Source organism: Homo sapiens, chromosome 10, assembly GCF_000001405.40.
Source record: "Homo sapiens chromosome 10, GRCh38.p14 Primary Assembly".
NCBI lineage: Eukaryota > Metazoa > Chordata > Mammalia > Primates > Hominidae > Homo > Homo sapiens.
Window position 1 is genome coordinate 121,713,307 of NC_000010.11, and position 12,825 is coordinate 121,726,131.

The window sequence follows — 12,825 nt, forward strand, 5'->3', positions numbered from 1 at the left end:
CACCAGGCCAATCTTTGTATCTAATACGAAGATGCAATGCTCTTCAAAGGCTTTTGCCCAGATAGCTGCATAAGCAACGAGAACAGGTTAACAAGCACTCAGCCTTCAAGGCTGGGCCACCCTAAGCAGACGGACCTTCCCATGAGGCTGTCAACACTCTTCAAGTGTCTCCTTAAGTATGGCCCAAGAACCAACAGCATCGGCTTCACCCAGAAGCCTGTTAGAACTGCAAGATTTCACCCATAACTCTGTGCGCCCTTCCCTCCTGTCCTCTTTCCATCATCTTTCTGCGCCACCACAATGGTGCGCAAGAATGTCCTGGCTGATGTTCTCAAGAGCATCAACACTGCCAAAAAGAGAGGCAAACACCAGGCTCTTATTAGGCTGTGCTCCAAAGTCACCATCTGTTTTCTCACTGTGATGATGAAGCATGGTTACATTGGCGAATTTGAAATCATTGATGATCACAGAGCTGGGAAAATTGTTATGAACCTCACAGGCAGGCTAAACAAGTGTGGAGTGATCAGCCTCAGATTTGATGTGCAACCCAGAGATCTAGAAAAATGGCAGAATAGCCTGCTTCCATCCCGCCAGTTTGGTTTCATTGTACTAATAATCTCAGCTGGGATCATGGATCACAAAGAAGCAAGACAAAACACACAGGAGGGAAAATCCTGGGATTCTTTTCCTAGAGCTGTAATACATATTTACAAATAAAATGCCTCATGGACAAAGGAAAAAAAAAAAAAAGAACTGCAAGATTTCAACATCCTCAGCCACCTATTCACCCAGGCCCACAGAATCCAAATCTTCACTTTACCAGATTCCAGGTGATTTATATATGCACATTAAAGTTTGAGAACTGGTGGTCTACACAGTTTTCACACAGCTGAGTGAAAAGGCAGTGGTCCCCCATGAAAGACTATGTATCTCAGCCTCCCTTGCAGCTAGGTGTGGCCAAGACACTAAGCTCCAGCTGAGAGACTAAGTTCTGGCTAGTGGCAGGTGAGCAGAAGTGACGTGTGCAACTTCCCAGTGTAGTCCTCAAAGAGAAGGAGACCGACACATCCCTTTCCTCTTCCCCTTTCTTGCTGGACAGATTTAGACATCACGGCAGGAGGTGGAGCAGTTGTCTTAGATCAGAAATGGAATCCCCATGCCAAGGATGGCAGAGCAAAGAAGAGGCCTAGATACTTGATGATTCTTTAACTTATCATAGCAGCCTTACCTCCAAATTACTACATGTCTTTATTTCTACATCTTCTATGATAACAACTTCCAGTTGCAATCTGTATATATGTCATTTCTCGTTATAGAAAGTGAGCTTTTTGTGGACAGAGACCATACTTTGTTTTTATCCTCTACATTAACTGGTTCTATCATGCAGTCTTGCCTTTAATACATGTATGCATGACTAGAAGTTAAGTGAATGAGCAAATGAATGAATGATTTATTATCAAGAAATGCTCACTAACCTCCCAGTGGTCAAAGATGAGACACTATGTGCTTTAATGAGGATAATGATTGTAATGGATTAAAATTCATTAACACGTTAAATCTATGGATTCATGATTATATATATATTAATATATAGACATATACGTGTGTGTGTATACCTAATTGGTCACCTTCAGAGAATAAAGAATTCAGTCTCATGAAAACTGGTAAATAAAGGGAAAGGAGCTAACATTTATCCTTCATTTCCTGTGTGAACTTTACAACAGGGTAACAGTAGGCGAGAAGAAGCATTTTCTTATATAATTCTAGCTAACACATGATAGAATTAGAATATCACCATTTTGCAACCCCTCCCCAAGGGAATTAGTGGACCCAGGTATAGAGTATTAGAAGCTGCTAACATCCCCAAAACAGAAACAAGACATTACACGTCTCCTGCAGTCTGCCAAAGGGATCAAACCCGAGTCTGATCAAGCCCCTGGATCCACAGAGCACAGGAGGACTTGTTGAATTGCATCATGCATGTGTGATTAGCAAAAATTCTGCCTGGGGGAAACTCTACTGACTGTCAGACAACTCAGATAAATCATAAGAAAAACAAAGTATGGAGGGGGACGTTATGGGTCAAAGGAAGCAATAAGGGGAATACTATAGTATAGGAAGTCATGGAGGGGATTGCTATAAAATTAGAATAATGGTGGTTAGAATATGCAGTGGTTCATGCCTATAATCCCAGCACTTTGGGAGGCCGAGGCAGGAGGATCATTTGAGGTCAGGAGTTCAAAACCAGCCTGGCCAACATGGTGAAACCCCCTCTCTAACAAAAAATACAAAAATTAGTTAGGTGCGGGGGTGCATCCCTGTGGTCTCAGCTTTTGGGAGGCTGAGGTGGGAAAATCGCTTGAACCCAGGAGGCGGAGCTTGCACTGAGCCAAGATCACGCCATTGCATTCCAGTCTGGGCAAGAGAGCAAGACTCTGTCTCAAAAAAAAAACAAAAACAAAAACAAAAAAAAGAATAGTGGTGACTTTGGGGAGAGGAAGGCATTTGTGACCATGACTGAGTACAGGAAGGCCTTCTGAGGTACCTGGCAAAGTTGTATTGCTTGACCTGCCTGGGGCTTATAGGGGCATTTACCTTATTACAGTTTATTAATCCTTTTTTTTTTTTTTTGGAAGAACATCACTTGCTAAGTGGCTTCCTCATATGTGGGGATCACATTCCTCATGTGTGGGGGCAGGGGGCTCCTTCCAGGTTATAAATAGATTTAAAGATTTTCTGGTTGGCAATTGGTTGAAAGTTATTATCAATAGAATGGATTGTCTGGGTTAGATTAGTGGTTGTGGAGACCAAGGTTTTATCACACAGATGAAGCCTCCACGTAGCAGGCTTCAGAGATAATAGACTGTAAATGCTTCTTATCAGACTGAGAGAGTCTGTTCTATCAGTAATTCCAAGAAGGAGGAAGGTATAATGAAGCATGTCCAGCTCCCCCTGGTCATTATGGCCTGAACTAGTTTTTTCAGGTTAACTTTGGAATGCCCTTGGCCAAGAGAAGGGGTCCATTCAGATGGTTGAGGGGCCTTAGAATTTTATTTTTGGTTTATAAAAGATATGTCTATCTTGAATTTTGAGAGAGATTGTCAAGATACTGTCAAAATGTAGAGGCGCACTGTCACATTGTTTTATGCTCCACGCCACCGGGTATTTAGTGCTTATTTCCCCATGGTATTCCTAACACTGGCTATCACCTGTTTACATTTTTGACAATTCTGCAAGTGAGAAAAGGTATGTCTGTAATGGTATGACTTGCATTTCTTCAACTATGAGTCAAGTTGCTTATCTTTTCATGTGCTTATTGGTAATTTAATTTTTTTCTGTGAATTGATGTTTAAATCCTTTGTACAGTTTTTTTTTTCTATTAGATTTTCATTTCTTCTGGAAGGGATCAGAAACCCAGAAAGCTGACTCAGGTGCCTTCGAGGGTATTGTCCTTTCTCTTTATTATCAAAAAGATTAACTGCACGTGGCATAGCATTATCTTCTAGATTTTGTGATTTGATCACTCTTAAATGCATGCTATTAGAGAGTGTGGTCAGATAACATAAGAGAGAACTAGACATTAGACTTGCTTATCCATTTCCATTATATTTTCTGATCTGATAGCCATGATAACGTTTAACCTAAGTCATAATAAAATTATTTTGCAGATTATTTGGACTTAAAGATTCCTCACTCCCAAATTCAGTGAAAGGTGACCAAAGGAGCATTTCCTACTGCATCGTACGTTCATTTAAAACATACCTTAAGCACACCACACCCTTCCAACACCCAGTTTCCTCATCTGTAAAATAAGCAGGTTGGACTCCATATTCCCTGAATCTGCAGTTCCTTTCAGATGTAACTTCCTGTGAAGCGGCATCTGCCAACCAGGAGCTCAAATATAATTAGTTTTGGCCTAAAAGAAAGCCAGGCTACATAGAAGGAGAATAATGTTTAACATGCAAGTCTGACCACAGGTGACCAAAGATTCTTGCCATTAGTCTTATTGCAGTGGTACATATAGGGACAACTGTAGACCCTCTCTACCCGGGCTTCACAGTTTTCAAAGTCTTCTCTGCAGTCACTGCCAAGACCAACTCCAACTCCTCAAACTCATTCCTTTGCCGAATCCTGAGTGAGGTCCTAGTTCCTGTCCATGTGTGATTGACCCAAATACCAACGGAGAGCCTTAGTAGCTAGAGTAAATCTCCACATAGTAGGTTCTTAAACTGAATTACTTTTTTCCGAAAATATATTATTAGTGACAGTGTTAGTATTGTTATTTTGAGACTGGTGTGTGTGTGTGTGTGTTACAAGATAAAGGAAAAGAATAATTATGTTGGTATCATTGGGAACTGGGATTTTTTTCTTTCTTTCTTTCTTTTTTATGAGATAGAGTTTTGATCTTGTTGCCCAGGCTGGAGTGTGACGGTGCAATCTCTGCTCACTGCAACCTCCACCTCCCAGGTTCAAGCAATTCTCCTGCCTCAGCCTCTCGAGTAGCTGGGTTATAGGCATGTACCTCCACGCCCGCCTAATTTTGTATTTTTAGTAGAGACGGGGTTTCACCATGTTGGTCAGGCTGGTCTCAAACTCCTGACCTCAAGTGATCCACCCGCCTTGGCCTCCCAGTGTGCTGAGATTACAGGCATGAGCCACCGTGCCCAGCCAGGAACTGGGATTTTTCATCGTGGAGAAAAGAGATATAGACATAAATTTGATCTGGTTAAGTAAAATCCCTAGAGTCCTAAAAACTGCAGTGGATTCAAATCCACCAGCTATGTTTAAACTATGTTAAAATACCATATGGTATTTAAAAAGAAACTCACTGGTTACCTTTCAGATGTTCTAGATAACCAACTCCTTATTTTGTACGTTGCTAAATGAAGAGAAAGAATAAGGCTTTTCTATATGAACTACCTTTGGGGTCTCATAGTTGATGAGGGTAAATTATCTCAAGTGTGGATGGAATAAGATTTGAATATTGCCATTTTCAACCTACAATTAAATAAAGGATCCAGGCAGTCACTAATGGCTGCTAATGTCCTAAAAAGAGAAACCATCAGATTATTTTCTGACTCTTGTTGGAAGAGCACATCATCTATGAAGGAATCTTATTTTAAAACTTGAACCCGGATTTAATTAAGCCTTGAGCTCTAAATAGCAATTTACGAAAAGTACAGGGGAAAGAGGAACATGTTAAATGACATGATGGGGCCACAATCAGCAGAACCTGGACTTTTGGAAACTGTACAGAACAAATGACCAGGTTTCTTCAACAAATAACTTGCAAGGAAAAAAAATGATGTATAAGGGATTTAGGGATTAAAACAAACTTAACCATATTAACTGATTATGATGTATGGACCTAACTTGGATTTGATTTTGAACAATTTGTGAAAAAATTTATAAGACAATTGAAATATGAACACTGAATGGCTATTCAATGATATTAAGGAATTACTGGTTATTGCAATAAATAGAGATGTGATGAAGAGTGCTAGTGGTTTTATGGTTAGTTATTTTAACAGCCTGTATCTTATAAAGACACATACTGCAATATTTATTGATAAAATGATATGCCATCAGGGTTTGATTCAAAATTCTTCTGGAGATGGTAGAGGAGTCAGAGTAAGGTAAAACAAATGAAACAGCCCTGAGATGGCATGGTTGAGGTTATGCAGTGGGTATATGGGGGTCATTATATCCATCTCTCTAATTTGTATGTTTAAAATATTTTATTAAGGTAGTTTCCAGCAAGGCACGGTGGCTCACACCTGTAATCCCAGCACATTGGGAGGCCAAAGTGGGCGGATCACGAGGTCAGGAGTTTGAGACCAGCCTGGCCAACATGGTGAAGCCCCATCTCAACTAAAAATACAAAAATTAGCTGGACGCAGTGGCGTGCACCTGTAGTCCCAGCTACTAGGGAGGCTGAAGCAGGAGAATTGCTTGAACCCGGGAGGCAGATGTTGCAGTGAGCCGAGATTGCGCCACTGCACTCCAGCCTGGGTGACAGGGAGAGACTCCATCTCAAAAAAAAAAAAAAAGAAAGAAAGAAAAAAAAAAAAGAAAGTTTCCCTTGGCTGGGTGTGGTGGCTCATCTATCATATCTGTAATCCCAGCACTTTGGAGGATGAGGGAGGATTGCCTGAGGCCAGGAATTTCAAGACCAGCCTGGGCAATATAGAGATACCCAGTCTTTATTTAAAAATTTTTTTAAGTAATTAAAAAATTTTTTCTCTCTCTCTTCTTTTTTAAAGGAGTAACTAGCAGTCCCAAGGCTGCTTGTCTCTACTTTCTGATCTGACACTGATTATCTTGAATGATCTAATTGACATCATTCAGTCATCCCTGTAAATTAATAACATTTGAAACTTAGACACAACTCTTGCATAAGGCTGACATTCCTACAATGTGATGGACTAGCTATTGCCATTTCATCTTATACAAAGACCTCCTAAACGAATACACTCTGATCAAAGATATCCAGAGAAGGATCTCCCTACACACACACACACACACACACACACACACACACACACCCCTCTAGGACAGGTGCACATGTGGGGAGAAGGGTATTACAATGACAATTGTTAAATTCTAACACCCTCCTTTTTACCATCAAACTCTAAACACTCACACTTTCCTCTTTTGGGAGTCCTTATTGCTAGAGAAATTAATGTATATTTCAGAGAATAGTAGCACAGATGACATTTTCAAGAGGCTGAATTCAGTCTTCCACTTGGAGGTGTCACATAAGGTATGACGGCTCACACAGACCCTCAGAGGCCTTCCTTCCACCCTCAGCCCATTAACTTTTTTTCTGACCATTTCTCTAGTCTCTCTTGTTACTGTTAGGTTTCTTGTGGGTTGTTTGGTTAACCCTACTATGTTAGTCCATTTTCATACTGCTATGAAGAAATATCTCAGACTGGGTAATTTATAAATAAAAACAGGTTTAATGAACTCACAGTTCCACATGGTTGGGGAGGCCTCACAATTATGGTGGAAGGCGAAGGAAGAGCAAAGGCATGTCTTACATGGCAGCAGGCAAGAGAGCGTGTGCAGGGGAAATGCCCTTTATAAAACCATCAGATCTTGTGAGACTTATTTACTATCACGAGAACAGCACGGGAAAAACCCACCCCCAGGATTCAATTACCTCCCACCAGGTCCCTCCCATGGCACGTGGGAATTATGGGAGCTACAATTCAAGATGAGATTTGGGTGGGGACACAGCCAAACCATATCACCCACTGAGGGCAGTGATGCAACAGTAATTTTAGCCTACCCACAAGACATTGTACCTGTTACTAAAGTGTTTGTGTCATAACTCCCCTGTTACTGCAGAGGGACACTTTTTTGAGGACTGCTCTTTGTGAAGCTGTACTATTTAAATAGATAGCAACATAGAATCAAATGAACATTCTCATTTACCTTTGGCTATTTTCAATTATTATATTGATTGATAACATAAAGTCATATGTAAGTTCATCTGAGTGAGTGATTGATTAATTAATGGTAGAGATGGGGTCTCACAAGGTTGCCCAGGCTGGTCTTGAACTCCTGGCGTCAGGTGATCCTCCTGCCTTGGCCTCCCAAAGTATTGGGATTACAGGCATAAGTCATCATGCCCAGCTAAATTCATCTTATTTTCAAGGGTAAATAATAATAGATTTATATAGGCTGTTAATAATAAGTTCATTGTGTTCTCCAATTCTCTGTAATCACCAACTTTTTTTTCCACTGAAAAGTGGGAAAGAGTGGGACGGGCTGATTTGCTTAGTTGGTGGTCAAAACTGAATGGGTCCATACTGCCTAAATGCATTCAATGCACAGTCCTAGACTGGAAAAAAAAAGTCGAAAGACATTGTTAGGAAAATTGGTGAAATTTGATGTCTTGTAGATAACAACATTGTGTCGATGTTTAATTTCCCAAAAGGTATGCAGTGGTTCTTTCTACTATTCTTGCAGTTTTTCAAAAAGCTTGACATTATTTAAAAAGTACAAAATTTTAAAAAGCAATGAGGAATCTGAGCCCCAGACACAGTTGACCCTAGAACCCAGCACTTCCGTGGGACAGCCAAGTGCCATCGGCTCCCTGCTGTTGCCAGCTGAATACAATACAGTGCGTGTCACATGCCCCATGAGCAACACGGAGTCTGTGATTCAAGGAGAGGAGAGCATTATACAGCCAAGGAAGAAGTGACTTCTTGAAGGGGCTGGTGAGGGCTGGTGTCAAAAGTTAGAGCCATCAGCTCTCTCTTAGGCCAGATGCCTGGGGACTTTTATTACCAAAACAAAATAACAGCAATCAAGACAAAACAAATATCTGTACAGTTTAATCTTTATTTTTACAGGATTTGGCAGGAGCCAGAAGGTCTGGAACAGTAGGCCTTTCTGGGAACTTTGTATTTATTAAAATGGTCTGGACACTGGTTCTTATTATTCTTTCTCTCCCTTTGAAATGGGAATGGAAAGTCTCCCGATAAATGGGCAGAGGCATGGTCTAGACTCTCGTAACTAACTACTCTCATAATCCTTTTGTGCTCCAATACAAAAAATGCATGTGTGAACTTTACGTTCTTGAGATTCTAGGTTCTCAGCCACCCAACCTTGCTGAACATGCTGGGCAACGTGGAACACGGGGACTCGTGGTCATGCTAATAACAGAACAAGTTTCCATTGGAAAGCTTTGCCTAAAAGAATCCTTAAAATACTATAAATTTACTCCACAGAATCTAATTCATCCTTCTTAGAAAAGAGTTGGAATTTCTGCCTTTAGAATTTATTCTTTATTTTACAAGTTCTACATTTCAAAGTTAACTTATCTTGCCAAATATTGAAATTCATCTTTATAAAACAGTACAACAGACAACCAGGATGCTATGTCATAACGTAAGCTTAATTTACATCTAAAAATAAATTTTTAGGCCGGGCACGGTGGCTCACGCCTGTAATCCCAGCACTTTGGGAGACCAAGGTGGCCAGATCACTTGAGATCAGGAGTTCAAGACCAGCCTGGCCAACATGGAGAAACCCCGTCTCTACTAAAAGTACAAAAAATTAGCCAGGCATGGTGGCATGCGCCTGCAATCCCAGCTACTCGGGAGGCTGAGGTAGGAGAATCGCTTGAACCCAGGAGGCAGAGGTTGCAGTGAGTGGAGATCGTGCCACTGCACTCCAGCCTGGGTGACAGAGCAAGACTCCTTCTCAAAAAATAATAATAATAATAATAAATAAATAAGTAAATTTTTAAGTTGTGATAAAATACACATAACATAAAATTTACCATCTTAACCATATTCAAGTGTACAGTTCAGTAAAGTTAAATATATTCACACTGCCATGCAACCAGTGTCCAGAACTTTTTCATCTTGTAATACTGAAACTCTACAGCCACCAAACAACAGCTCCCCTTTTCCTCCTCCGCCAGTTCCTGGCAACCCCCATTCCACTCTGTTTCTCCATGAACTTTATTGCTCTGGACACCTCATCTAAGTGGTATAATATGGTGTTTGTCTCTTTGTGACTCAGCATAATATCCTCGAGGTTCATCCATGTTGTAGCATGAATCAGAATCTCCCTCCTTTTTATGGCTGAATCATATTCTATTGTGTGTCTGTGCCACATTTTGCTCATCCACGCATTCATCCATGGACACCTGGGCTGTCCCCACTTCCTGATTATTGTGAATAATGCTGCCACAAGCATGGATGTACAAATTATCTCTTCAAGACTCTGTTTTCAATTCTCTGGGGTCTATACTGAGAAGTGGAGTTGTTGTATCCTATAGTACTTCTATTTTTTATTTTTTGAGGAACCGCCATACTGTTTTTTAAGCAGCTGCATTATTTTACATTCCCACCAATCATGCACAAGGATTCCAATTTCTCTGCATCCTTACCAACACTTTGTATTTTCTGTTTTTTTGATAGTAGCCATCCTAATGGGTATAAGGTTTAAAATTTAAGTTTAGAGTTTAGTTTACAGTAAAAGGCTGCTTCAGTCAATGAAATATCTGAAACCAATGAAAAGCAAAATAAAGCATTCTTATATTAGGAAGGAATATCCTTTTCCTATTATTTAGCAAAGCATCAGCTGGACTGGAGAGAAAAGGCTGAAGCTAAAGATATCAGTAAGGAGCCTACTGTAATCACTGAGCTGAGAGCTATTGGGCAGGTGAACTTGAGCAATGTCAAGGAACCTAAGGATAAAGATGCCAGGGACACTTTGGAAATGAAATTGACATTGATTTTCAAGTGATTGAATGTTGGACACAAGAGGAGTTGATGATAGCACGGAAGCTGCAAATGCAGATGACCAGGGGAATCAGTGTCACACACAGAATGGGAGAGAAGAAGCAAGAACTGGCGGGGAGGACCGCATTGTGATGAAGGAGCTCAACAGGTGAGTGGAGCTGGGAGCAGAGGTGAGAAGACTGGGTGGAGAGAACCCCAGGTGGTCCCATGAGTGAAGATGACACTGCTGAAGGAGATAAACAGAAAAATCAGGGGGCCATTGCCAGAATAAAGGAATATTTACTAAGCTATCCCATGCAGGTGTAATGCCAACTGTTTCACCCTGAGCAGAGCCAAAAGCGCTCCCTGACTTTGGCTGAAAGTTTATAGCTAAGACATGTAAAACGACAGGCTGGAATCCTGGGGAGGCTAACGAGTGGTACTTTACTCCCTGGCCATAGCTGGCAGGGGACTCTCAGCTCATCATTTTGCAAGATGAAATTCGTTTGTTGCAGGGGTCTTCAAGCAGAAGCACTTCTTAGAAAATCAATCAAGTCTCCTACTGCTAGCAGGTCAGCAAGCTATCCCTCCTTACTGTGTTAAAAAAAAAAAAAAAAAAAAAACCCATGCACATTCCCTGACTGTAAATCAATGATTATAAGTCATGAAGGTGAAATATAAGAGATTTTGAAGTATATTTTCAAAGTTGAAAATGTATGTCACCTTAGGTGCATGCAACATCTTGCCAACTGAATATGGAACCAGCTGTCCTGCAGAATATAATTTGATGACAAAGTCAATGTTTTTCAGCCATAGCAGAGAGGAAAGAACATGATGTACAAAAATTATTCAAGTCCTAAGCATTCTATCCTTAATAGAGCCATCAGCAAGTTTATATTTCAATTATACTAACTACCTCTGACCTATCACACATAATTCACATTTGCAAAGTTGTGGGTTTAAAAAACATATCTACATGAGCTTGCATGCAGTGCAGACACATTTGGTTTTGATTCTCTTTGACCTCCTCCAAGAGTAGTAAAAGATCACCTTTCCCAGGAGATAACATGTAAGTCTGCTCATATATTTCCAAACACAGCATGTGGCTTCAGTCACATGTCTCTTATTAATGTCAATGGGATCTGTGTAGGTAGGAACTCATGGCCCCAAAACTCCCTGAGGAATTTGGGTGCTGGAAACAACATTAACACAGTGTCTTATTCTCTACCAGGTCCTGGGAGTCCTGATATTGGTGACTTACTAGGTTATCCATTGACCCAATAAGGCCTTGCCTATCAATGATGCATTTAACATATTAGCACGTTGTCTTAGAGCATTTGTGTTGCTGTGACTGGGTAATTTACAGGAACAGAAACTTATTTCTTACAGTTCTGGAGGCTGGAAAGTCCAAAATCAAGGCGCCTTGAACACTGTGTCCTCACATGGCAGAAGGCAGAAGGACAAAAAAAAGGGGGTGGGCACAACCCCCTTCCATCAAGCTATTTCACAATCATCTATTTGTGAGGGTGAGATCCCCACAACCTATACACCTCCCAAAAGACCCCATCTTCCAGCATTGTTGCATTGGGGATGAAGTTTCCAACACATGAATTTTGGGGGACACATTCAGACCACAGCACACATTCCAAGAGTTGGAGTGAAGGCTGGGGAAAGCATCTGGAATAGGCTGTTTGCTGTGCGTGCAGGGATTGCTGTCCTAACGGATTGGAGGGATGGGCCCTGAACAGAGAGGCCTCGTAACTCCACAGTATCAGCCCCACCCAAACAGGTTCAGAGGCCCAGGCAGTAGACAGAAGTCACCTTACACGTAGAGAGGCACAGGTGGGGATTTTCCAGTTTTCATCTTACAAGGCAGGGGAGAGGGGGACCAAAGGCGCAACTTAAAGGAAACAAATATTTGTGTGTGTGTGTTTTTAAATCATTTGAGACATGAATCGATTGCCTTGGCTATCATGTTTCTATACTTCTACAGAAAAAAAAAAGATCTAAAATGGATATCTGTATATATTCTCAAAGAAAAGTGAAGAGTGGCCTTAGCTGAGAATGCCTGTATTATTAGTGCCAGGTATATGTATAATTTAAAAATTTCCCTAGTCTTTTCTTCTTTTTATCTTCCTTTTTCCTCTAGCAAAGACTGTTGAAGCCTCCAGAAAGTATTTGCTGAGCACCTACCACAGCGAGGTGCTGTTTCAGCCCTGGCGACAGAGCAGCAGACAAGACGGGGGGGTCCCTTTTCTCACTGACTGGCGACTAAAGAGACAAGGACAGTGGCCCACAAAGAGCAGGGCCACGCCGAGAATTCAAACAATGTTCTAATTGCTGTGTTGAAAGAGGATGGTCAAGTGGCTCCTTTAGACGGGGCAGACAGAGGCCTCTCTGAGGAGATGCCGGCAGGGCCAGGGAAGGGAGTAGCACCCAGGAAGGATGGATGGCGGGGCCAGGGCAGGACGGGGGTGCCCTGGGCAGGATGGGCAGTTCAGGCCCCATCCAGGGGTTGGGTGTCAAGCTTTTCTTGGGGCTGGGTCTGGAGAGGGTAGGACGCTTGTCCACGCCCCACAGC

At 41.5% G+C, this 12,825-nt stretch overlaps 1 pseudogene; it reads left to right on the forward strand.

Annotated features, from left to right (window-relative positions):
* RPS15AP5 (ribosomal protein S15a pseudogene 5) lies at positions 271 to 731 on the forward strand (annotated as a pseudogene).